The sequence below is a fragment of the Homo sapiens genome, chromosome 10 (genome assembly GCF_000001405.40).
Source record: "Homo sapiens chromosome 10, GRCh38.p14 Primary Assembly".
In the NCBI taxonomy this organism is placed as follows: Eukaryota; Metazoa; Chordata; class Mammalia; order Primates; family Hominidae; genus Homo; species Homo sapiens.
Window position 1 is genome coordinate 5,718,608 of NC_000010.11, and position 26,680 is coordinate 5,745,287.

The window sequence follows — 26,680 nt, forward strand, 5'->3', positions numbered from 1 at the left end:
AATTAGCCTGACGTGGTGGCGGGTGCCTGTAATCCCAGCTACTTGGGAGGCTGAGGCAGGAGAATCACTTGAACCTGGAAGGCGGAGGTTGCAGTGAGCCAAGATCACGCCACTGCACTCCATCCTGGGTAACAAGAACAAAAAACTCTGTCTCAAAAAAAAAAAAAAAAAGTGGTGGGGGAGTAACATTGCTTTGAGGTACAATCACTAGTTTTCCTCCCTTAATCTTTCTTTTCTTGCTCTGCGATGAGTGCTGCAGAAAGTATGCCTACTAATGCAGATAATAAGCATTTCGTTTTTTACTTAGATTATGCCTCAGCCTTGATTTCTTGCCACTAGCTGGAGATTGCTGTTTTGGCCTCTGTGCTCTCAATCTTCATTTTATTTCACAAAATCGAGCCGCACCCAGAACCATAAAATGTTTGATGAGGAGATGGTAGAGATGATTGGTTACTGATAAGTACTATTTACATTTTTTGGCTTGGTGGTTTGGCCTTTGGTGGGTCTGTAAATGAAGAGGCAGGACTTAAACAACAACAAAACATCTTCTTTTTTAAAAAGTAACTATATTCTTCTTATAAAAATTAAAATTGCCTATAGTCCCATATCCCATTTTGATATAAGTTAATAACATCTTGTGAACATTGTCTTATGTCATTGTATTATTCAAAACAGCTTTTAAAATCATTGCATATTTCATCATAATGGTAAACTTGGCTTACTTGCTTTTTATTTTTTTGTTTGTTTGTTTTTTGAGACAGAGTCTTGCTCTGTTGCCAGGCTGGAGTGTAGTGACACAATCTCAGCTCACTGCAACCTCCACCTCCCGGGTTCAAGCAATTTTCCTACCTCAGCCTCCCAAGTGGCTGGGACTACAGGCGCGCGCTACCACACCCAGCTAATTTTTTTGTATTTTTAGTAAAGGCAGGGTTTCACCATGTTGGCCAGGATGGTCTTGATCTCTTGATCTCATGATCTGCCCGCCTCGGCCTCCCAAAGTGCTGGGTTACAGTTGTGAGCCACTGTGCCCAGCTGCTTGCTTTTTTCTTTTTTTTTGGAGAGACATGTAACCCTTGATGGAGAGAACTCTGTAATGGAAAATACTGCTGACTGTTCAGCAACCAGGACCAGCTGCCTGCTAAGAACTTTGCTACATATTTGCTCCTTGTTAACTTGCTGGGCCCTGTCATAATAGAAGTATCTCAGTTTATAATTTACAACTGATCATAGTTCAGATTGGAAACTCATCTTTTGAAATTTTAGATTTTGTCCTCTTTTACATTACAGTCACCAAAGAGCCATTCAGTGACCGTAACATAAAAGATGGTGGGCTATAGTTTTTCTTTTAAGGAAATGGCTCTCTTAAATTTAGGGTGATTCGTATATTTCTTTGATATTGTGATAAAAACTATGGATATTTGTCTCAGACGCCCAAATGTCCAAAATTTTTGAGTCCATTTTTAAGGGTTCATGGATAATCAAAACTATTTTTGGCCTTAAGATAATTGTTTTTCTAAGAAGTATAGTTCTTAATACAGTTACTGTTAGGGGACACATATCTGCATCCTTGTTAGACTACTTCTAAATGAATCCTAGAGTAAAGGTTATTGCTATTCGAAGGCATCTGATTAGTTTTAATATTTTCATTCTAGGGAAAAGTCAAGTTTGTGTCTGAGAATTATACAACTAACTATACTAAGCCATCTTCTGGCTATGATTGCCACGTGTCTGAAAATACTAACAAGGTTTCTAACAAGACGAGTCATTTTCGTGCCTTTGAACTGAGTCAGGTATAGTTACCTGTGAATGAGTAACACCCAAGATATATTTCTGACTCTAATGTGTTAAATTTCAGGGCTCGGTGGGGTTGAGAAAAACTTGGTACATATGCAGTTCCATAGTGCTACCCTGATAATACTTATTTTTCCTCTTTCAGTATTACTTTTACGAACTTTCAGGCAACACCGTTATTGAACGACCCAGACAGATCTGTCCTTATGTAATTGTAGCTTTTCGATACAGGGAATCTAAAACTATGGCACCACCAGCTCATAAAAGCATGTAAGTAATTATGTGCATGCTTTGTTTTACTGAATTTGTTCCTTTTACTCTTGTAAACATGTTCTTTTTCTTTCTTTTTCTGCTAGACTTGAACGCAGTGAAAATGGTAAGAAATAGTTCATTGATTCTTTTAGGTTTTTTTTTTCTTGAGTAAATGTTTCATCATAAATAATCAGTTTCTTTTTTACCTTCATTTCTTCAGTTCTCATGTCTCCATGGAAAGGGAAATTAATTGTTCAAGACCGTATGCTATGTGATATAGCTCTTTGGTCCACTTACGGTGCAATGATTCCAACACAGCTGTAAGTATTAAATGTTATGTCCTTTACTAATGCTTATATTACAAGTTTTGGGGTTTTTTTTCCTCACCTCATTTCAAGGGTGGCATTGGTGTAAAATACAGCAACTGTTCTTGATTTTAGATGAGGGTATATTTGGGTAAATGTATAGCACACAGGGTATGACATAGTAAACCTAAATTCTAATTTATTAATGGGAAAATGACCTCTTGGGATAAATTAAACTATTAGATACTAGAAATTTGACCTTCCCCAAGAAATAAATCAGATTTGCCTGATAGCAAATATAGCAGATTATAGCCACTTAATCGTATTATTTTTATTAACATTTGCAGTATCTGATTTTCAAATTTTAACATGATTTTCTTAGAAAAATGTTAGAATAGCTGTTACATGTATTTACATTAAAAGCAATTATCATGATTAATATTTTCTCCTGGGGAACTGTGAAGAACATCTTAGGAAATCTTTTTGGTTCATCCTGTTCTTAGTTTGTACCCAAAACCATTAAGAAATAGTCATAGTTTAATTGAATTATAAGGTGAAAACTGATGTGTTGTGAGGATTCATTTTTTTTTTTCCTATCGGCCTTTTTTAAGAAGAGGTAGGAGTATAATAACCCACAACATAAAAATTATGTGAATAAGCAAATAGAGAAGGGAAAGTTCTTCCTCATTATAGAGTGCAACTAATAAATGTGGAAAGATTGATAAATTAGAAGATCAGCATTTGACAACACCATAATAATCAACCAGTGTGTGCTAAAAACAGGTGAAAGTTTAATAGTATTTGCATATCTTACAACATTTCCCCACTACTTGCTTATTAATCACAAAGGAAACAATGCAGACTTACCAGTGGAGTAAACTGGCAGATACCATCTTAACTCAGCAGTTAAGTTAATGATAGACCTATCCTGATTCAGGAGCATTCTGCAAAATCGTCTATATTTTTCAAAATACCCTAGTCATTGAAGTAAAGAAAAGACTGAAAAACTGTTCCAGATTAAAGGAGACTAAAGAGACGTGATTACTGAATGCATTGTGGCATCTTGGATTGGAAATTGTTTTCTTTTTTTGTGAAGGAACTTAGTGAGACAGTTGGCAGCATTTGAATAAGATGTAGGTTAAGTCATAGTATCGTTATCATTGTGAATGTGTTGATTTTGCTTATTGCTTTGGGGTTGTATAAGAAAATTTGCTAGGGGCCAGGCACAGTGGCTCCTGTCTGTAATGCTAGCACTTTGGGAGGCCAAGGCAGGAGGATTGCTTGAGTCCAGGAGTTTGAGACCAACCTGGGCAACATGGCGAAACCCTCTCCCTAATAAAAATACAAAAAATTAGCCGGGCGTGGTGGCACGTGCCTGTGATCCTAGCTACTGGGGACGCTGAGGCAGGAGAATCACTTGAACCTGGGAGGTGGAGGTTGCATTGAGCTGAGATCGCGCCACTACACTCCAGCCTGGGCGACAGAGTGAAACCTTATCTCAAAAAAAGAAAAGAAAAAATTTCCTGTTTAAAGGAATCACACAGAGAGGTATGTGACATAAAAGGGCATCAGGTTTGCATCTTACTCCCAAAAGGTTCAGAAAAAAATAATGCGTGTGTATAGAGAGAGAGAATGACAAAGCAAACATGGTATACTGTTAATATTTGGGAAATCTGGATGAAGGGTATTAAAGAGTTCTTTGTCCTATGTTTGCAACTTTTGTATAAGTGTAAAAGCATTTTAAAATGAGTTTTTAAAAAGGAAACAGAGTGCCGGGCACAGTGGCTTACACCTGTAGTCCCAGCACTTTGGGAGGCCGAGGTGAGCAGATTGCCTGAGGTCAGGAGTTGGAAACCAGCCTGGCCAATACGGTGAAACGCTGTCTCCACTGAAAATACAAAAATTAGCTGGGCATGGTGCGGCATGCTTGTAATCCCAGCTATTCGGGAGGCTGAGGCAGGGTAATCACTTGAACCCGGGAGTCAGAGGTTGCAGTGAGCTGAGATCGCACCACTGCACTCCAGCCTGGGTGACAGAGCCAGACTCCATCTCACACACAAAAAAAGGAAAAAGTAGTCAGGAAATAACTTTTTTTTTTTTTTTTTTTTTTTTTTGAGACGGAGTCTCGCTCTGTCGCCCAGGCTAGAGTGCAGCGGCACAATCTCAGCTCACTGCAAGCTCCACCTCCTGGGTTCACGCCATTCTCCTGCCTCAGCCTCCCGAGTAGCTGGGTGGGACTACAGGCGCCCACCACCACATCCGGCTAATTTTTTGTATTTTTAGTAGAGACGGGGTTTCACCGAGTTAGCCAGGATGGTCTCCATCTCCTGACCTTCTGATCCACCCGCCTCAGCCTCCCAAAGTTGCTGGGATTACAGGCGTGAGCCACCGTGCCTGGCAAATAACTCATAAATAGCATAATTTTTTTTAATTCCTTATTCCTGTATACATAATTTTTTTGACACATCTAGATACTTTGTCTGTACTGAAAATACATGTATTGAGAAGATGTGAACATATTTGCAGACCATGGTTTATGGGTCATATATTTGAAAATCTGTACTACTTAAAAATACACATATTATTTAACCTGGAGCTTATCAACTTAAGGTCTTTTTTGTGGTTATATTTTTGTTTACATTTATATTAGAAAACCAAAACTTAAGAAAATTTAGATCCACTGTTTATTATTCTGCTTGATACTGTTGTGTTGTTTTTCAGACCGCAGGAACTAGATTTTAAATATGTAATGAAAGTGTCTTCCTTGAAAAAAAGACTACCAGAGGCTGCCTTCAGAAAACAGAATTACTTGGAGGAGAAAGGTCTGTTGAAATGTAATAACACGCTACTTGTCCTGGGCTTTGTTCTGGTTATTTTCTGCTCTCTTCCAAACACTCACACATGCACACTTCTGTTTCATCATAAGTGACTCTTAAAAGAGTCTTTTGTAAGAAAGCTGTAGAGTTACTATTTTCTTCAGTTCCTTGGAGGCCAACTAGAAACTGAAAGGTAGTTTCATCTAAGATGACAAAGGCTAGCTTTAATATAGAAATACTGATGCAATTAAGCAAGCAGATATTAAAAGCATTTGGAAACTTGTAACTATTCCTCTCGAGGACAGAGTTTTTGTTGGTTTTATTTATAGAGGTACTTTTAAACTCAAAGAAAAACCATGAGAAGGAAATTTCTTGGTCATTTAGGTTAATTCATGGAGCACTGATGTTTATTCATGTAGTATTTGTATTTGTCTTGTTAATCCTATAGCAGTGTCAGTATAAATAAGAGCATTGTTTTAAAATAACTATTTTGGTGATGTTTTATGAGGGAGTTTTATAACCAAGAACAGTAAATGATAAAGGTTTCTGAGTAGTATTTCTATTCTTTCATTTTTGCAACATATAAAATGAACAAATTGACTGTAAGTACATAATAGCGTATTAAAAATAAGAAATGTTTTTCTGGTTTTCTCTACAGTCTGTTTTCAAGATTTGTGCTTCAATTTGTATGAGGTAGAACTGTCAAACAGACAAGGGGAAAATATAGATAAATTAACAGAATGTATTAAAAACAAGCAATTGGTAAGCATCACTAATTTAAAATATAATTATTATGTTTTTCTTTAATTGATATATATTAGTTGTGCCTAGATGGCACATATATATATATTATATATATATATAGATAGATAGATAGATAGATATAGATATAGATATATAGATATAGATCGATATAGATATATATTAGTTGTGCTGAAAGGAGTTTCATGTTTAATATTTATTTATATATTATTAATGTAATACAGTATCTGTGGGGTATATGTTCCAAGACCCCCAGTGGATGCCTGAAACTGTGGATAGTACTGAACCCTATGTATACTGTGTTTTTTTCTATACATGCATACTTATGATAAAGTTTAATTTATAAATTAGGCACAGTAAGAGATTAACAACAATAATAAAATGGAATAGTTACAACAATATACTGTAAGAAAAGTTATGTGAGTGTGGACTGTCCATCTCAAAATATTTTATTTATTATGCTATACTTGAGTACTCCTTGTGATGAATGAGGTAGGTGGTGCAGGCATTATGAAGTACTACTATTGCCCCAGAGGGTGGGTAGCATCTACAGCATAGATACACTGGACAAAGGGATGATTCACGGCCAGGCGTGGTGGTTCACGCCTGTAATCCCAGCACTTTGGGAGACCAAGGCGGGCGGATCACGAGGTCAGGAGATCGAGACCATCCTGACTAACATGGTGAAACCCTGTCTGTACTAAAAAATTATCTGGGTGTGGTGATGGGCGCCTGTAGTCCCAGCTACTTGGGAGGCTGAGGCAGGAGAATGGCATGAACCCAGGAGGCGGAGCTTGCAGTGAGCCTAGATCGCGCAGCTGCACTCCAGCCTGGGCGATAGAGCAAGACTCCATCTCAAAAAAAAAAAAAAAAAAAAAAAAAAAAAAAGATTGATTCACATACTGGGCAGGAGGGGCAAGAAGCAAGGATACAAAGTAGTGTAGTCCCTAAAGTCTGGCATGGTGGAACACATCTGTAATCCCATTACTTTGGGAGGCCAAGGTGGGAGGATCGCTTGAGGCCAGGAGTTTGAGACCAGCCTGGGCAACATAGCAAGATCTTATCTCTACCAAAATTAAAAAACTTTTTTTTTTTAAACTAGCCAGGCATAATGGCCTGCACCTGTAGTCCTGGCTACTCCGAAGGCTGAGGTGGGAGGATAGCTTGAGCCTGGGAGTTCAAGGATGCAGTGAGCTGTTACTGTGCCACTGTGCTGCAGGCTGGGTAACAGAGTGATACCCTGTCTCTTAAAGAAATAGGCTCTTAAATCATAGCTCCTGTAAGTCAAGGAGCTTAGGAGACTATGGAGGAGACAAATATGTAAGTCATCATGTGACATACAACACATAGGGGCTCTCATAGAATCTTGTTGAAACTCAAAGCAGTGATTCTTTTTGAGAGTGAGATATTAGTGTCATACCTTAATTGTAATGTAATAATTTAAAAAGTCTTATTTTGTATATTCATTGTGATTAAATAATATATTGATTTATATTTGTAGCCTTATCACCTCTCAGTTTTGAAATAAAATGTTCTGTAAAATGGTATATTTTATTTAGGTGGTTTAACTGAAAAATTATTGTACTAATATTGGATTTTATCTTTTATGTGTATATAGATTTTTGAAATGGTAAGCAGTGGAAAAGAAAAACTATTAAATTCATGATTTAGAACAACAGCTTTTAGACAACTTCTGCTGCCTGGGGACAAAACTGCCCCAGTTACTGAAAGCATTAAAATTTCAAGACTTTTTTCTTGAGCTCAAGAGTCCACTGAAGACTCTAATAGAGGGGAACAAAAGAGAGGAAGAATTTATTTTCATCTGTATTTCTTGTTGCCCTGGAACTTGATTATTTTCTGTTATTTTCCATTTCTTAAGATGCATAGAAAGAAGTATTCTATTGGATGGTATCTTGCAGTCTTTTTAGATTCAGCGTTTTGGGATAATTTTCATGTAAATATGAGCTTAAGATGCTACTTATAGGTTTGATTCATCGTGAGTTTATAATGACTACATGGTAACATATTGGCTGTTTAGGCAGTGGTATGAAATGTCAGCTGTCTCAGTGAAAAAAATAAGTCTTTTCTGATTGATCTGCCATGTTCTTGAGCACTGTTCTAAAACTAACCTTTCATGTTCTGGTTATTTTATATAGACCCAACAGGGCCAAGATTATTTCAGCTAAGGAACTTGAAGTTTCTGATACTGGGGACAGAATTACCCTGATTCCCATAACATTTGCAGAATTTTTTCTTTTCTTGAGGTCAATATTCACTAATGAGTATGGGTAGAGGGAGAAGAGAGGGATTGCAGAATATTCCTTCAGTTGAATTTTTCCTTTTTATTTAAGGCAATCATCAAATGCTTAGAAGATCGAGGGTTTTTCATTTTACTTACATCATCAGCCTTACTATCAGAACCAGGTATGGAGAACTGTTTTGGGAAAAAATATTTTTCATTATGTTTACTTTTGCTTTATAAGATCAACAACCTAACTTTTCTTCTTCTGATTCTCATTCTGCATAGATTTTGGAGGCAAGCAGATGGGTCTGCATGGGTTACATTTATTTCGTTCACCCCTGTCAACAGGTGAGGATACAATGGTTTCCAGCTCACTCTGTCTGTTGGATATATTTAGTCCTCATCTGACTTGACCTCTCAGCAGCACGTGACACTGTTGACTGTTTTTTCCTCTTAAATACCTCTTTTCTTAACATCACTGGTTCACCCTTCTTGACCTCCCTTGTAGGTTTATGCTTCCCTCTGAGCCTCAGTCCCATATCTCCACTTGTCTACTGACATTGCCACTGAGATATCTCAAAGGTGCCTTAAATTCAGCATGTCTAAAACTGAATTCATTTATTATTAAATTTTGCCATCGTCTCTCCTGTAAATATGTCTCAGAGTCTTCATAGGTGCTGTTCTCCTTATCTGGACCTTATCTGTTAGTCCTTTTCATATCAAGCCCATACATTTTTATTGTGATGTTGATCCACCCAGAGGACCAAAATTTGGCTCCTGGGGGCAAAAAAAATTACTCATACAGTGCATAAACAGATATGCAGTGTATATCTGGTATTAAAATTTTGGAGGTCAATATGGGGGAAAAATGACTCTAAGAGGGCTGGGAAGGAGGATGACTAAAAAGATTGAGAAACACTAATCTAGCTTATTCTTCCTCCTATCTGTCAAACTCGGCTTCACTATCACTTTCTTTGTTCCCGTCAACACTCTTTGCTCACCTTAGACTCCTATGCTTATTTATCATTCATATAGTTTAAATATTTATTTGTATAATTATTTAATGCCTACCCTTCTTGTATTCTACTGTATCCCTAGTGCCTAGCAATGCCAGGCACCTATAAAATAATAAATATTTGCTAAACAAATAAATAAATGAGAGTTGACCAGTCACGGCAGCTCACACCTGTAATCCCAGCACTCTGGGAGGCCGAGGCAGGTAGATTTCTTGAGTTCAGGCGTTCTGAGACCAGCCTAGGCAACATGTTGAGACCCTGTTTCTACAAAAAATAGAGAAAAATTAGGCGTGGTGGCTTGCACCTGTGGTCCAATCTCCTTGGGAGGCTCAGGTGGGAGGATCGCTTGAGCCCGAGACGTGGAGGTTGCAGCGAGCCAAGACTGTGTCACTGCCCTCCAGCCTGGGCAACAGAGTGAGACCCTGTTTCAAAAAAAAAAAAAAAAAAGTCACTTTGTTGTATAATCACAATGTGTGTGTTTAAACATAAAACTCTATATAGTATTTATAAAGCTATAACCAATATAAACATGTTTTTAAAGTTTTTTTAAAAAATTCAGTTACTGGCTAGGCAGGGTGGCTCACGCCTGTAATCCCAGCACTTTGGGAGGCTGAGGCGGGTGGATCACGAGGTCAGGAGATCAAGACCATCCTGGCCAACATGGTGAAACCCCGTCTCTACTAAAATACAAAAAATTAGCTGGGCTTGGTGGTATGTGCCTCTAGTTCCAGCTACTCAGGAGGCTGAGGCAGGGGAATCATTGGAACCCGGGAGGCAGAGATTACAGTGAGCCTGGTGACAGAGGGAGATTCTGTCTCAAAAAAATTAAAAAAAAAAACAAAACAATTCAGTTACTTGAAGCAGAACGCTGTGCTTTCCTAGGCATCACATCTTTGGAATAAGCAAAACATTACCCATGATAATAACATAATTGGCAGCGACCGTTTGCATTTTTCAAGCATTTATCATGTCAGGTTTTGTGGTGGAAGTAATGGACTTAGCAATCCATAAAATAAGTACTCCTATAACGATTTCAAAGATGAAGAAACTCAGAGTTGAACTTGTTCAGGGTCTAACAGCTAACTTCAGATCTGGCTCCTGTAAGATTTCTAATTTCATTTTATTTTATTTTTGTTTTTTAGTTGTAAACTATAAAGTTTCAGGTATTTCATTAAAAGATTTTAACAAAGCGCAAGTTTAAAATTCTCACATAAATATGATATGAACTTGCTAACTTTTTGCCTATATTTGTATCAGGTGAAGAAGAAAAAGAGTGGCCGGGCATAGTGGCTCACGCCTGTAATCCCAGCACTTTGGGAGGCCAAGGCGGGCGGATCACTTGAGGCCAGGAGTTGGAGACTAGCCTGGCCAACATGGTGAAACCCCATCTCTACTAAAAATACAAAAATTAGTTAGGTGTGGTGGCACATGCATATAATTCCAGCTACTCGGGAGACTGAGACACAGAATTGCTTGAACCCAGGAGGCGGAGGTTGCAGTGAGATGAGATCACACCACTGCACTCCAGCCTGGGTGACAGAGCAAGACTGAGTTAAAACAAAACAAAACAAAACAACAAAAAGACCAGAGCAATAACTTTAAAACAATTTGGTTTATAAAAACGTTGTGCCCGGAGTGGTGGCTCACGCCTGTAATCCCAGCACTCCAGGAGGCTGAGGCAGGTAGATCACTTGAGCCCACTCGTTCAAGACCAGCCTGAGCAACATGACAAATCCCATGTCTACAAAAAATACAAAAATTTTTATTTTGATATCTGGCCACATTTTCCTTTTTACTGTTATTTGTCCTTCATTTCCTTTTTCTAATAACTGCTTTAGTGCTAATGTATTTAACTAGAACTAACTTTGTGTTTCATTCTGAAGTTACTTTTCTTTAAAAAGAATGGTACAATTTTTATTTTCACTTACTAGGCCCTGAAGGCTGTTGTTTCTTGTGGCTTTATATTACTGACAACTCTGAAATTTTATAGGATTTTATTACCCAGTTCATAGGGACCAGACCTTTTCTCTTTTTTTTTCCCTTTTACTGTTTCCTTTATTCATTTTCAAAAAAAAGGAAAAATTAGCACTTCAGTCAAAGCAGGAGAGGAGGTGAAACATAGACTAGTCAGTTTTAGAAGTTTTTATTTCATTTGCTAGAAAAGGTGATAAAGTTAGCAATAATCATTCCAGTGAGATTCCAGCATTATTTAGGGCTTCTACTTTTTTCAGTTCAGTTGACTTGCACTAACTTCTGAAAAGAATTTGAAGTGAGTTCAGTAAGGTACAGCTACAGTAAAATAAATTTTAAAACAAAATAAGAAAAAGTACGAAAGCAAATCTGCCAGCTCTAAAGACCAGTGGTACTGCTGTGATGAACCATTGAGCTCATGAGCTCCTTGTTAGGTGAGATGGAGCTGGAGGCAGGGTTTAGTTTACTTGTTCTAACCTAGTGATTGCATGTCAGATGATTCTTTTTCAGTTCAGTGTGTGTGTGTATGTAATTTCAAGTATATGGAGATACATTTGTTAAATGTACCTCTAAGTCTTCTATTAATTGCCATTTAGGTTGTCATTTGAAATACTATAACATATTTAACCATCACATAATTTTGAAATCTAAAGCTTTTTTTTCCAGAATGTTTTGTTTTTAAAAAATAAACTTCAGATGTTTAATACGTGTGTATATATTCTAGGGGTGAAAGATTTGAAAGTTGAAGATGACATCTCAATGAAGGTGATACCTATTTTATCTACCCTTAATTGTGCCCTGCTAGAAACAAAGAAATCACTTCCTGAAGAAAGAATCCATCCAAACACATTAGTAAAGCGTCATTTCCAAGAATTGTACAAGGCGGACAGAAGCCCTTCATTGAGTGTTGCTCCTCAGGATAGAATGAAAGACCCTACATTCTTGGGGAAACTGCCCAGTGGTTTTGACTTGATTCCTCCAGCTGAAAAGTGCCCTTCAGAGTCTTTAACTCAGTTGAACTCTTATTTTTCAGACCCTAGTGCTTACATTTTGGAAGTGTCTACTGCTTTGGACTTGCTAGCAGAGCATCCTCAGTCTCCTTGTGTTTCAGACGGAATTTGTGATGCTGGATTTTCCTTAGTTATGACTCCAGATCCTGAATTTCTTGTCTCAGAGGCAGAAGTGAGAAAAGAAACTGAAACAAAAAAGGATTCTGAAGAAATGTTGAAAGCAAAGAAGAGAGTTTTTCCATTGAGTCCAGCGTCAAATCTGAGAGTGCAGCCTAAGAGGAAGGCCAGCATGCCCCACATGGTGCAGAGTAAAAAGGTGAACTTGTGCCGCCCCTTTCCCAAAAGAACTGCTTCCAGAGCAGACAACAGCTCGGACTCTCCAACAACTCTTAAGTTAGTTAAAGGACAGTTTCCTCAGAAAAGAAAAAGAGGTAAGCACGATTTATTTATGTGGGTTATTATAATAATAGTTGTGGCCAGGCGTTGGTGGCTCATGCCTGTAATCCCAGCACTTTGGGAAACCAAGTGGGTGGATCACCTAAGGTCAGGAGTTTGAGACCAGTCTGACCAATACGGTGACACCCTGTCTCTACTAAAAATACAAAATTAGTTGGGTGTGGCGGTGCGTGCCTGTAGTCCTAGCTACTCGGAAGGTTGAGGCACAAGAATCATTTGAACCCAAGAGACAGAGGTTGCAGTGAGCCGAGATCACGCCATTGCGCTCCCGCCTGGGTGACGAGCAAATCTCCATCTCAATAATAATAATAGTTGTTGTATTCGATCCCTCTGCTGTCTTGGTCCCTGTGGACTGCAGCTTTGCAGCATCAGTTAGAAGATTGTTAGAATCACCATCATTTCTCTCCAGGCAATTTGTGTGCCTCCTAATGCCTGACAAGCTCTGATTGAGATAGCAACTGAAAACCAAGAAATAGGAAAGACCAAGATACCTCAAAAGCCTACCCACCACCAACATGTTATGTTCCACATGTAAAACCACCCACACGTGTATGTTCCATTCTAAGAAAGACAACCATCTAGTTTCTGTGCCATCCTCTTCACAAATGGAGGTAGAAAAGGTTCTTCTAAAATCAGGCACATCAGTACCAGCAAACCGTGATAGCTGACAGCCTCAACACCTATCGAGAGGAGGGAAATGCCTGGGACCTCCAAAAGTAAAATAGTCTGGGGCAGAGTTTCTAATCCTTTATGTGTATCACAGAGTTTTTACGTGAGCACCTGGATTATTCGTGTGGTTTTGATGCTCCCTGAAAAATTGAGTGAGAATTAGAGTCTTGAGCTACTTAGTGTATTGGCAGATGTATTTCAGTGAACATAGCACAGCAAACCATATGACTTTGGCCTAGCCACTTAATGTATTGGCAAATGTATTTCAGTGAACATAGGACAGCAAATCATATGACTTTGGTTTAGAGTCATCTCAAATTGTGTTTTACTCTATTTTCTCTAAAAGAGTAGGGAAGTATATGGGTGACTCCTTTGGAGAAGAAGGCAGCACATTATGGCCAAGGGGCCACTCGGTTGTGCCTGTGTCGTCTCTGGCTGCTCTCATGCCGTGTTGGCAGAGCTGAGCAGCTGTGACAGAAGCCACATGACCTTCAAAGCTGAAAGTATGTACTCTATGGCCCCTCACAGAAAAGTTTGCCAAGCCAATCTGTAATATTTTGAATTTGGAAATGTTGGTGCCTAAAGAAGAAACGTCTAGGGTATGGTAATCCCAGGATTCTAAATAATTCAGAGTTTACCCTATGGAGTTTTTTTTGTTTGGAGTTTTCTGTTTTTGTTTAGAAACAGGATCTCTCTGTCAGCCAGGCTGGAGTTGAGTGACATGATCATAGCTCACTGCAGTCTCAAACTCCTGGGCTCAAGTGATCTTCCTGCCTCAGCCTCTGGAGTAGCTGGAACTACAGGGGTGCCCCACTAATTTTTAAAATTTTTTTGTAGAGATGACGTCTTGCTATGTTTCCCAAGCTAGACTTTGAACTGATGCTCCTGCCTCAGCCTCCCAAAGTGTTGGGATTACAGGCGTCAGCCACTGTACCCAACCTTGGTTTTATCCTGTGGCTTCATAAATAGTGGTTTCTGGCTTATTGTGGCTTGAGGAACGGGGTGGAGATGTGCGTACTTAGGAGGGTAAGTGGAAAGTATGGTAGTATAAAGCAGTGCACCAGACTATACAACTATCTGTAAAACAGATTCCAGGCCAACCATACTGTTCTGCATGAACCAATTTAAGGTATTGAATCAGTTATCTATAACTCAACATAAATTGTCACTGTTTCTCAGATGTTTTTAATTATATCCACTGTAAGAAATATGTTTGATATTATATTCCGGTACCTACAAGTTCATACATGACTGGAACAAAAATTTCAAAAAAAAATTATGTGTAATACAGTCTGATACCTTCTATTCTGTTTCATTTAAGAGTTCTGGGCTGGGTGTGGTGGCTCATGCCTATAATCCTAACACTTTGGGAGGCTGAGGCGGGTGGATCACTTGAGGCCAGGAGTTCGAGACCTGCCTGGCCAACATGGTGAAACCCCGTCTCTACTAAAAACACAAAAAATAGCCAGGTATGGGGGCACTTGCCTGTAATCCCAGCAACTTGGGAGGCTGAGACACGAGAATCTCTTGAACCTGGGAGGGAGAGGTTGCAGTGAGCTGCACTGCACTCCAGCCTGGGTGACAGAGCAAGACTGCATCTCAAAAAAAAAGAAAGAATTCTAGTTGTGACACATTGAATTTATTTTACAACCCACCAGTGGATTAATTGCATTCAGTTTGAGAAGCATGGTATTGAATGTTACATGTAAACAAAACAATCTATGCAGGATCACTTTGTTTCATTTTTCTTTTTTCTCCCAACACCTGGGAGTACTTGGGAATATCTTCCTTTTCTGTTTGTACAAATATTAGAAAGTTTCCCCCTGGGTCTTGGTTGTCTAATCTTTTTCTTTTTAATTTAGTCTTAACTGTTTTCCTGATTTATTTTTATTTTGCTCTTCCCTATGCTGAAGATTTTAGAAAATGTAATTAGAGTGTAATAAGAAGTCTTATTGTTAAAAAAAAATACGCTGCTTTAGTACTTATTAATATAATAATTTGGTAGGGAGGAAGATAATCAGACTTGAAATGTACAGCATTAAGATATTCTGAAAACATTTTTAAAACTATTCATTTCGCTAACCCCCAAAAGAATGAAATGAAATGGGTCTCCTTTTTTCTCCTACATTTCACTAACACTGATCAGTTTCTTAAACTGTTTAATATCATTTTTAGTGTCCTTAGTGAGAAGTAGCGTCTTCTGTATAATGTAATTTAAAAATATTTGCCAACATTAAATGTGTGATTATTTCATATGATATCTTTGAGGCTTAATTTTAACTCTTAAAAGATTGAAACACTTTCTGTTGTGCATTATAAGCAGGTGTTTAGTATTTCCTTTTTCTTCCCATCCTTTAGCTCCACCTTTAGCTATTTTTATGCCATGTGAGAAGCAAAGCAGAGCGCTTCTAAGAGACACCATTGTGTAAGATAGTAGATTTGTTAGAAATAAAACCAGGTGCACACTTTCCTCAGGCTTCCCAGAGCGCTTCTAAGAGTCATCATTGTGTAAGATAGCAGATTTGTTAGAAATAAAACCAGGTGCACACTTTCCTCAGGCTTCCCATCTTTTAAAAGATTGTTTTTCAGATGGTATTAAAATTTAGATGTTTACAAGTAGTAACGTAAAATATATAATATGGCTCTCCAAATATATTGCTGTCTATACAACTCTTCTCTGCAGTGTGGTTATAGTTTTAACCACTTCACCTTATGGAAGCTGTGCTGCTGTTTGTTTAAACAGAAATATCTATATCCTGGGGCTGTGATCTAGCATATTCAGTCTTACCTGTCACATTAGTCAGGAAAGGTTATGAAGATTTTTTTTTTTTTTTTTTTTTTTTTTTTTTGAGACAGGGTCTCACTCTTGCCCAGCCTGGAGTACAGTGGTGTGGGCTCCAGTTATCCTCCCACCCCAGCCTCTCGAATAGCTGGGACTATGGGCACATGCCACCACTCCTTGCTAATTTGTTTATTTTTTTGTACAGTGTCTTGCCATGTTGCCCAGGTTGGTCTCCTACTCCTGGGCTCAAGCAGTCCGTCCGTCATGGCCCCCCAACATACTGGGATTACAAGTGTGAGCCACCACTCCCAGCCCAAAGTTTTGTTTGTTTGTTTGTTTTTCTTTTTTTTTCAGTTGTTACAAAGTTATTACTCTGATCTTTTTCTTCTTCATCTGATAGGGATATAGGCAGACACTTAGCAAGTTCATATTATATTTATGTGAGAATGTTTAACTTTTGATTTGTTAAAATCTTTTAATTAAATACCTGAAACTTCATAGTTTATTCCCCATTACTAAAGTTACTGTCCCCAAAATAAAAACAAAACAAAACAAAAAATGGAAAAGCTATGCTAAGTATCTGGGCCCCTACCCCTTACAAAAATGATGTCTTTTCTACATAAGGTGCGGAAGTGCTGACTGCACAGTTTGTACAGAAAACCAAATTGGATAGGAAAAACCAAGAAGCTCCTATTTCTAAAGATGTTCCAGTGCCAACAAATGCTAAAAGGGCAAGGAAACAAGAGAAATCTCCAGTCAAAACTGTTCCAAGGGCTAAGCCACCTGTGAAGAAATCTCCACAAAAACAGAGAGTAAATATAGTAAAAGGCAATGAGAACCCCAGAAACAGAAAGCAGCTACAACCTGGTAAGAAATACTCTTCCTATAAATTTAAACACCCCAATACAGATCTAACAGAGAGTGCAAGATAATTTATTGAAATAGTGTAAGAGCAGTTGCAATGTCCCAATAATTTTTTCTGTGTTTTTCAGTTCAGACATTAAAAAAACTAAGTAAACTGGTTTCCTAATGTAAATAAATTAGGAAGGTACAAAAGCTCAAACCTTCAAAAACATAGAGCCTACTTTTTACTTTGCAAAAAGCCTGAACATGAATTGTCTACAAGCATTAAAGTATAAATGGCCTTATTTATGACTAAATGCAGAAGCAAGTAGTATCTGGCATTATTTTTCTAGACCATTATCAATTATAAAAATAGAAGATTATAAGTTTATCTAAAGGGAATTATAAACAGACTGTCCAAAACTGTCAGTAATCCAGAATCCTGTATTTAGTTTTATTTATTTAGAGACAGGGTCTCACTTTACAATCACTGCAACCTTGACCTCCTGGGCTCAAGGGCTCCTCCCACCTCAGCCCCCTCAAATAGCTGGGACTACAAGCACGTACCACCATGCTCAGCTAATTTTTTTGTATTTTTTTACAGAGACCAGGTTTTGGCCAGGCGCGGTGTCTCACGCCTGTAATCCCAGCACTTTGTGAGGCCGAGGTGGGTGGATCTTGAGGTCAGGAGTTCCAGACCAGCCTGACCAACATGGAGAAACCCTGTCTCTACTAAAAATACAAAATTAGCCAGGCGTGGTGGCACATGCCTGTAATCCCAGCTACTCGGGAGGCTGAGGCAGGAGAATCGCTTGAACCTGGGGGGCAGAGGTTGTGGTGAGCCGAGATCGCGCCACTGCACTCCAGTCTGGGCGACAGAGCGAGACTCCGTCTCAGAAAAAAAAAAAAGAGAGAGAGACGGGGTTTCACCATGTTGCCTAGGCTGGTCTTGAACTCCTGAGCTCAAGTGATCCTGCCTGGCTCAGCCTCCCAAAGTGTTAGGATTACAGGCATGAGCTACCATGCCTGGCTGAGAATCCTGTATTTGGTTTTAAAAGGCATTAATTTTAAAAGTAGTTTTACTGATTTAACTTTGCTTAAGTAAAGAATCAAGTTTAGTCACATGAACTGCTCCAGTTTTGTATTTTCAACTGCTAGATATAACCTCTGTACTAGAAAGTTTTGTTGTCACCTTAGTGAGACAAATACCAGCTTTCCTCCTGGATCTACTTTCCTTAATTTTTTTTCCCTTTGGTATTGATTTTTTTGTGGTGTGTGTGTATTTTTTTTGTTTTGTTTAACGGAGAGACTTCATTCTCTCCTATCTTTCTATGAGTTTTCTGTCTGGTTTTCCTGATTCTACTTTCTCCCTCATCTATTACTAGATGTTACTATCTCACAGAGAGTGAGAATTCAGAGAAAGAAATTGGATTGTTGTTTTGTTTTGTTTTGTTTTGAGATAGAATCTCACTCTGTCACCAGGCTGGAGTGCAGTAGCACGATCTCGGCTCACTGCAACCTCTGCCTCCCAGGTTCAAGCAGTTTTCCTGCCTCAGTCTCCCGAGTAGCTAGGACTACAGGTGCATGCCACCACGCCTGGCTAATTTTTGTATTTTTAGTAGAGATGGGGTTTAACCATTTTGGCCAGGATAGTCTCAACTTCTTGACCTCTTGACCTCATGCTCTGCCTGCCTCGGCCTCCCAAAGTGCTGGGATTACAGGTGTGAGCCACCACGCCCAGCCAGGTTTGTTTTTTTTAGTTTTTTTGTTTTTTTTTTCAACTTAAGCATACCCTGAGATTCTTTAAGTTTTTTCAGATTGTTTTATGACTGAAGATTTTTTTAAAAGCTCATCATGTCATTCAAAAACCCATATGCTGCAGTTTTGGCTTCCATACCAGATTTGAGCTCTTCTGCTTGTCCCTCTCGGGAGTTTATGGTGTGGCTGTACCTCCCCTCTCTGCGTTGTGCCTCTGCTGTTGCCACCGTGCTCCTTCCCCTGCGGCCCTCTGTGCCTCCCCCAGGCAACCTCTGCCCTTCAGGGGCCTGCAGCTAGATTTATCCCCACAGGGAGGCGTTTTCTCATGTTGTGACTGTAACTAATCTCTCACTTCTTTGGGATATTTGAGAACATTCTATAATTTAATTCATACTGTTTTCAATTCATCTGACATGTCTTGGTCCAATCTTTCCAATTTGTAAACATGAGAATAGGTAACATCTTGTGTTCCTAGCAGTGTCATTTGCATTCTTTGTACTGAATTGGCTTCAGATGTTTATTGACAAATTGATTAATGCGAGGAGGTATATAATTGCATACTGGCAGAAAAGTGAGCCCAGAAAATTTAAAGTTTCAAAATGTGTGTTCAAATACAGGCTGATTTGTATTGCAAATGTCTGTAGGTATTGTGCAGCCACATTCCAAGTTAACATTTTTGAATGACTACATTTAAATCTCTGAATTTTTTTCTTAAGCACCTATGTTAATCATTTTACTTCTTATACTTAAAATATCAACGTTTAAGAAGGCAGATGAAACATAGCCACATTGACCTCAGTTTGCAAATTACTGATTTAAATTAGAATCAAATGATAATTTTGAAGTCAGACAGTCCTTTTGTTAATGAAACATGATTTTCTGTCCTTTTTATTCACTGAACTTTTTTTTAATGTAGTTCCTTTGGCATTGTCTTATGTATGTCTTAAATAGAAATTATGGGTGGTGTTTTTTTAATTGGGAACCTGTAACACGTTAATAACTGGGTGATTTATGTGAGACTATAATATGTTAAACTACCATTTTTCTTTATTTTAATACAGTATCTTTTATATTAGGCCTTACTGGTAAGTAATATTTTGTGTAAGGGATAAGTAGATGGAGGCCATAATATTAACAAAGAATGAAATTAGCATCAGATCACAAAATTAATTTTATGTTTCCAGTATACCTGTGGGACTAACAAGACAATTATCTGCTTTGGGTCCTTTTCATCCACCTGTCCCCTTTGAGTTTGCTGTTTTAAATAAAAACTGGGCAGTCGTTGATCAGTTTAACCCTTTCCCCATGTATGTGCATGCCCTTGTCGTTCTAATTGATGACATCATAGGCTGGAGCTGTCTTCTCTTTAAATGTGTTACTCATTGGCCTTGGCTGGCAGGTTGTTAATTCATTTTGGACCTGCTACTATGATAAAGAGGAACATAGTTGGCTTTTCTGGTCATCTGTCTACCTGCAGCAGGGAATCATTGCCTAGCAGAGTTGTGAAGTTTATCCTTCATAATAACAGCATTTAGGAAGGAATAATGAATACGTTGAAAATACCAAGGGAAACCACTGGCAAATGTAAATGTTCTGATTAAGGGCATATGGATAGATTTGATTATCTGTAAAAGGGAACATTGTCAGTAGATTTGCTCTTTCTTGGATAATGTAAAAGGTCAATGTTTTTGGTAATGAAAGTAAAATTTTAAAAGGTAATGGAATTAATTGATGATTCTGAATACTCTTAGGACTTTTCTAATTTTTTATTTCTATCACATCATGTAATTAAAGATCAATATAGTTAAAATCATTTGAACTTAGGTAGTTTCTCTAATAAATCGCTTGTTCAGGGAAATGGTTCCTGAGAAAGTATGTTAGCAAACTCATACACACTTGAAACTTCTACATTCCTGTCCTTATTAGATTGTAAGCTCCCAAGGGCAGGACTCTCATCTTTTTTGGGTTTTTTTGTTTGTACATTTTTTGAGCTGAGCTGTATGTCTTCTGTGTAGATCAGTTCATATGTTTTTGAAGGATAATTTCTTTCTAAATTAATGTACACATTCCTTAAGACTTGTCCCTCTGGTTTAACACATTATAATCTGAGGGTTGAAAGAGACCTTAATCCAATAGAAAATTTTAATATGCAATATGTATAACATAAGTTTTATCTGAGGGTTGGAAGAGACCTTAATCTAATAGAAAATTTTAATATGCAATATATGTTACATAAGTTTTTCTCAGACATGTTGAATTAACCATCATAGTAATATGGCAGAGAGTTAATTCTATGACAAGCAAACATCTCTCTTTTTTTTTTCTTTTATACTGAAGTCAAAGGAGAAACTGCTTCAAAGCTTCAATCAGAAATTTCAAGAGGTTGTCAAGAAGATGGGATTAGCATAAATAGTGTTCAACCAGAAAATACCACAGCGGCTCACAATGATCTTCCTGAAAACTCCATCGTCAACTATGACTCCCAGGCCCTAAATATGTTAGCCGATCTAGCATTAAGCTCTGCTACTTCTTCCACACCAGTATCTGAGGCTAGAAATCTTCACTGTTCCTCTGAATTGCCACAAAATGATGTTTTGCTCTCTAAAGAAAATTCTTTGCGAGGTACATCTGACCATGAATATCATAGAGGAGTTAAAACTCAAAAAGGTGAATTACTACCTAACCCATCTTCTGATAGGAAGAGTAATTCTGGATCAGACTTAACAGTTAGCCAAGATGAAGAAAGCTTGGTTCCTTGTAGTCAGGCCCCTGCTAAAGCCCAGTCAGCACTTACTGAGGAAATGCTAGAATCTTCAGATGCAAGCCAAAGCTCTTCTGTTTCTGTGGAACATTCATATGCCCTGCTCCTTACAGAACATTCAAAGAAACATCTACAGGAGAGAGAGATACTAAGCCCTCTGTTTCCCAGGAATGGGACAAAAAGCCCTGAAGCAGCAACCCCAGTGGGGAAAGTCATGCCATTTCGGCATCAGCCCGGCCTTTTGCTTCAGCAAAAGCCTCCTGACGACCCCGTGGTGAAGCCCAAGGATCGACCACCGTCTGCCCGTGTGAAAAAATCTTCTTGCTCTCGTATAGTGCTTAGCTGTGATGACTCCGTTAAGATCACTTTCAAATGTGAAACAGAATATGCATTCAGTTTAGACAGCAAATATACCAACAACCCACTGGAGAAAACTGTAGTAAGAGCATTACATGGGTGAGTATGAGTGAAACTTAGTGAAAATGGATGAAACTTTTCTGTTGAGATGAATGTAGTGAGATGGGGAAACTTATGCCAAACTCTGGAGAAGGAGAAAGAAGTGTTGTGTTTAAAACCAGTAATTTGATAATAACATCAAGCAAACATGTTTCCTGGCAATTAAGAGTAACAGGCTGGTTTTCCCCCTGTGCTCATGTGGAGAAGTTTTTAAAGATAATTTTAGCCTAATGAATAGCTTTCCATTTTGCAATGCTCCCTCGTAAGCCCTTGTGGCTTTTGAATTTCAATTTTTAGATGAGATCTTAATGTAAAATAGTGTGAGATTTAGAAATAATGCTTTACAGACTGAATTCCAGAAGAAACATTTTAAAAATCACTGTAGCTTGGTAAATTGGTCAGATTGATAGGAGTAAGCAGTTTCACATAAGATTGTTCTATAGATCTCCCTTAAGAAGGAATCAAGTCAGTAATAACAGAGTGGTGAACAGCACAGGCTTTGGAGTGTAGACTAACCTAGATTTGAACCCGGGTTCTTTCCCTTTCTTACCTCCTGTGATCCTGGGCAAGTTTCTTGCTTCTGGACAGTGCTTCTTAATTGTGTGTGCTGCTCATCTAGAGATTTCACTGAACTGCAGATTTTGATGCATTCTCCTTGGGAGAGGCCTGACATTCTGCATTTCTAACAAATTTTCAGGTGATATCAATGGTGGATGACAGTCTGTGGCCAACATTTAATTATGTAGCTGTGTCCTGAGGTTACATATATTGAGATGCACAGTGACTGGCCAGTAGTAGTAATAAATGGTAACCATCACTGTTAGCAAGCATTCATTAGCTATATGAATTGACATTCAGCTCCCTATTAATGAACTGTTTCACATCTGACTATATGGACTCTACAGCTGTCAGGCTTTCTTCTATACACCTGTTCATATATACTCATAAGGGTCATTTCCTTAGAACTTCCTGTTTAGCTATTGCCCAACTCTGCAGCCCCCCTGACTTATGGTACTCCAGCGATCTGCCATCCTTTTGCCTGCCAGGTGGCCAGAAATGTTTTCTATTTCCCCTTACTGTTTCAGGATATTTTGCAGAACTGTAGTCTGAAAATAGTATAGTTCTGTTGAATTGCCCAGAGAGATATTTTATCTTCAGACTTTCTCAATTATTAGAAGAGAGACACAAAAATGGAAAATAAATGAATCAGCCAGACTTAGCAAAAGCATGGTGATGAGGATTTGGGTATTGGCGAAACCATTTCTATAATAAGTATTCTGTGTCCAGAGTGAATTTGTATGGTGTAAAAGACACGTGCTACCCATGTTCAGATCATGGTTCTGCCATACAGGTTTTGTGATTTGAAAGAAGGCAATTACATGTTCTGATTCTCAGTTCCCGTCTCTGTAAAATGAGTGGGTTAGATGGATAATTATTTGTTAAGTCAACTACATATTTACTCATTCATGTTTCATATCTGTAAATTTTAAAAATAAAAACAAAAACTAAGGAATATTGGAGGCACTTGCTTATGATAAGGTAATCAACTAAAATAACCATTTTCAATGATTTTCATGTGTTCTTTCTGTAAACTCTTAGGCCCTGGAATACTGATTTGCCTGATAATGTGGAAGAAGTGAAGCTTTTACTTCATATGTGGGTAGCTCTGTTTTACAGCAATCAGAACAAAATCATACGATCTTCCCGAAAGGTTGTAGAACACAGCAACCCAGCAAAATATGTGTCTATAAATAGCACGTTAGAATCTTGTGAGCTCCGTGAAATTGAGGAGTCCCTTGGTTTGGAAAAATGTTCTGCAGACTCTCTGTTGGAGACTAACGAAATTTCCAGGGCTCATGCTGCTGAAGTATCCTTCCGTGATCCTAACTGCTTGCTTCCTTTCATTAAAACACCACTTACCCAAGGCTTGGAACTCTGTGTACAAAATGAACAGAAAAAAACTTTTGCAAGAGAGTGTGATCCAGACACCCAAGAAGACCAGAATTTCATCTGTTCTTACAATAATGAGGTATGTAAAGCTGAATACCGTTAAATGTTGGCATTATTTTTGAAGAAAAAAATGTTTATATGTAAAATCACATTCAAAACAAGGCATTTTTAAATTTTAGGACAGTGAATTCTCAAGGTATGTAAAGAACTATTACACCAAAAACCTAGTTTTCATGAAGTGTCCTTGAATTGTCTGCAGGTAGAGCTTACCTGCCATCCCGATTGAAAAAAACCAGAGTAGAAAAATGTCACAGGGTCCACATGATCTGGGAGCCCAGCATAATTTGGGGCAAATTGCTTCTTTGCCTAATTTTTAAAAGAGGTGACTTAATACCTATCAAGTCTTATGTAGAATATTGTTTAAGGATCAAATATAGCAATAATAAATCTTAGATATACTTTGATAAACCTTAAAGTAAACTAAAATTAATTGTATTAAAATTATTTTTGAAGACAGATGCTGGAATAGTAAAATGCCAGACCTGTGAAAGAAGACCCATTGCAAATAACTATTTGTAAATATGGAAAATATACTTTGTTTTGTTCCTTGTTCTCAACTGACATTCAACCAGGCCAGATAATCCAAATTTTACCTGGAGCAAATCTAAAAGTTGTTAACAAAATTCTAAGCAAATGAATTGACAAAATTACCTACCTTTTAAAGTTTTCCGCCCAAATTTATTCTAGAATAATATTGCTTGGGTTTGGGCAGCATCTCTGATTCCTGTCTTAAGAAAGAGTAGACAGTGTTCCTATACCCGGGGTCACCGGGGACTTGGAGGTCCTTGGGTGAGCCTCATAGAACCCGTGAATATCTTCAAGTGATTGTCATCATCATGAGAATTAAAGATTTCTGGGTCACTGTGTGCCAGAAAGTAAGAGTTCTAAGCCCTTCACTCATATTAACTCAGTTCATTCTCAAATAAGTTAAAGACTATTAATCTCCCCATTACATAGATGACGAGACTAAAGCATAGAGAAGTAAAGAAATTGCCTAAAGTCACATAGAAAATTGTCAAGCCAAGATTCCAGTCTAGAAAACCTAAATGTTAACTATGTATGTGCTTTTTTTTTCCCCTAAAGATGGGGTTCAGCAGTTCCATCCTATTCTCAAAGAATTACATAAAATCCAGTTAAGAATCACCACCTTAGAATAAGAAAATATAGTCTAGTCAGGGAGATTTAAATTAATACATATATACATGCTAGTTTCTTATAAAATACCATTTGTCGTGGTAATATGTAATTAACTATCATCAGTACTAATTTTAGCAATGATTTTGGCAAGCCTGACTGTTCAAATCAGTGATTCCTAACAATCTCCTTAGTATGTACTTACGTAGGCTTTTGTTTTTTTGTCATCTTGTTGAATGCTGTGCCTGTACTTGAAAGGCACACGTGTGCTATCGCACTCCCTCCACCAGTTGGCACACTGGAATGTGAAGAAGAGGATTCTAGCATGATAGGCACTAGAAACCAAAAGCATGTTGCTGCTAGTCATGTGTTGAGTTGAGCACTCTTTCTGAATTGTCAGACTTTATTTTAGAAGCATTACACTTTACCTGTAGTAAAAATATATCGAAATAGAAATATATCAAGATTGTCACTATTTGCATTTCACTAAGACTACAGTCATGGTGAGATTTAGGACTGAGGCTAAACGTTACCAGCCACATGATTGGGAGGGCCATTAAAGTTCTCAGAAGGACACTGACTCTCAAGACTTTTCTAATACTTTGTTCTCTTAAAACTCTGTTGTCTCAGCCCCACACTGTTGACTCTGTTTTTTTGTTTTGTTTTGTTTTGTTTTGTTTTGAGAAGTCTCACTCTTGTCTCCCAGGCTGGAGTACAATGGCACGATCTCGGCTCACTGCAAGCTTCACCTCCCTGGTTCAACTGATTCTCCTGCCTCAGCCTCCCTAGTAGCTGGGATTATAGGCGCCTGCCACCACACCTGGCTGATTTTTGTATTTTTAGTAGAGACAGGGTTTCACCATGTTGGCCAAGCTGGTCTATAACTCCTAACCTTAGGCAATCCACCTGCCTCAGCCTCCCAAAGTGCTGGGGATTACAGGCGTGAGCCACTGCCCCCAGCCAGAAATGGTTGGTTGGTTTGTTTGTTTTGTTTTGTTTGAGACAGAGTCTCGTGAGCCACTGCTCCAGCCAGAAATGAGTTTGTTTGGTTTGGTTTTTTTGAGACTGCAGCCTCCGCCTCCCGGGTTCAAGTGACTCTGCCTCAGCCTCCCGAGTAGCTGGGATTACAGGTGCATGCCACCACTCCTGGGTAATTTTTGTATTTTTAGTAGAGACTAGGTTTCGCCATGTTGGCCAGGCTGGTCTCGAACTTCTGGCCTATAGTGATCCGCCCACCACAGCCTCCCAAAGTTCTGAGATTACAGGCGTGAGAAGCCGTGCCCTACCTAAGACAGAAATGTTTTTAACAAGAGATTTGGAACACAGTTCCTGATTTCCAACATGTATGCTTCAAGACATGGCACGCAGTTTGTGAGCATGGTGTTCCCAGCATTGCAGAGGGGTGTGATCAGTTGTATAATCAGTTCATTTTATTATATGCTCGACAAGGCCATGCTTGAGGCTTTAAATAAAACAAAAAACAAATACCACCCTGTTTATGAGGTTATGAGAACTGTCCTGAGATGATAGCTCTGCTAATGTTTAACCTAAATCCTGCTTGCTACTGTTTAAATCAGTGCCTTTAGTTCAGTTTATGATTGCAAACTGCATTGATAAAGTTTTCAATTGCCATGTACAATAGGTAT

At 38.4% G+C, this 26,680-nt stretch overlaps 1 protein-coding gene across 5 annotated transcripts in view; it reads left to right on the top strand.

Annotated features, from left to right (window-relative positions):
* Nucleotides 1–26,680, top strand: part of TASOR2 (transcription activation suppressor family member 2) — a 78,903-nt gene that overhangs the window by 33,770 nt on the left and 18,453 nt on the right. For 3 of the 5 annotated variants that reach the window (NM_001321783.2, NM_017782.5, NM_001387328.1), the window contains 11 exons: nt 1,937–2,061; nt 2,148–2,167; nt 2,264–2,363; nt 5,070–5,170; nt 5,823–5,926; nt 8,278–8,350; nt 8,454–8,516; nt 11,880–12,596; nt 16,697–16,939; nt 21,011–21,890; nt 23,490–23,919. In NM_001321783.2, the coding sequence (NP_001308712.2) occupies nt 2,036–2,061; nt 2,148–2,167; nt 2,264–2,363; nt 5,070–5,170; nt 5,823–5,926; nt 8,278–8,350; nt 8,454–8,516; nt 11,880–12,596; nt 16,697–16,939; nt 21,011–21,890; nt 23,490–23,919 (2,757 nt within the window). In that variant the 5' untranslated portion in view covers nt 1,937–2,035. Of the gene's footprint in view, nt 1–1,652; nt 1,791–1,936; nt 2,062–2,147; nt 2,168–2,263; nt 2,364–5,069; nt 5,171–5,822; nt 5,927–8,277; nt 8,351–8,453; nt 8,517–11,879; nt 12,597–16,696; nt 16,940–21,010; nt 21,891–23,489; nt 23,920–26,680 lie in introns of all 5 variants that reach the window. The other 2 variants (NM_001321784.2, NM_001321785.2) reach the window with 2 other exon arrangements.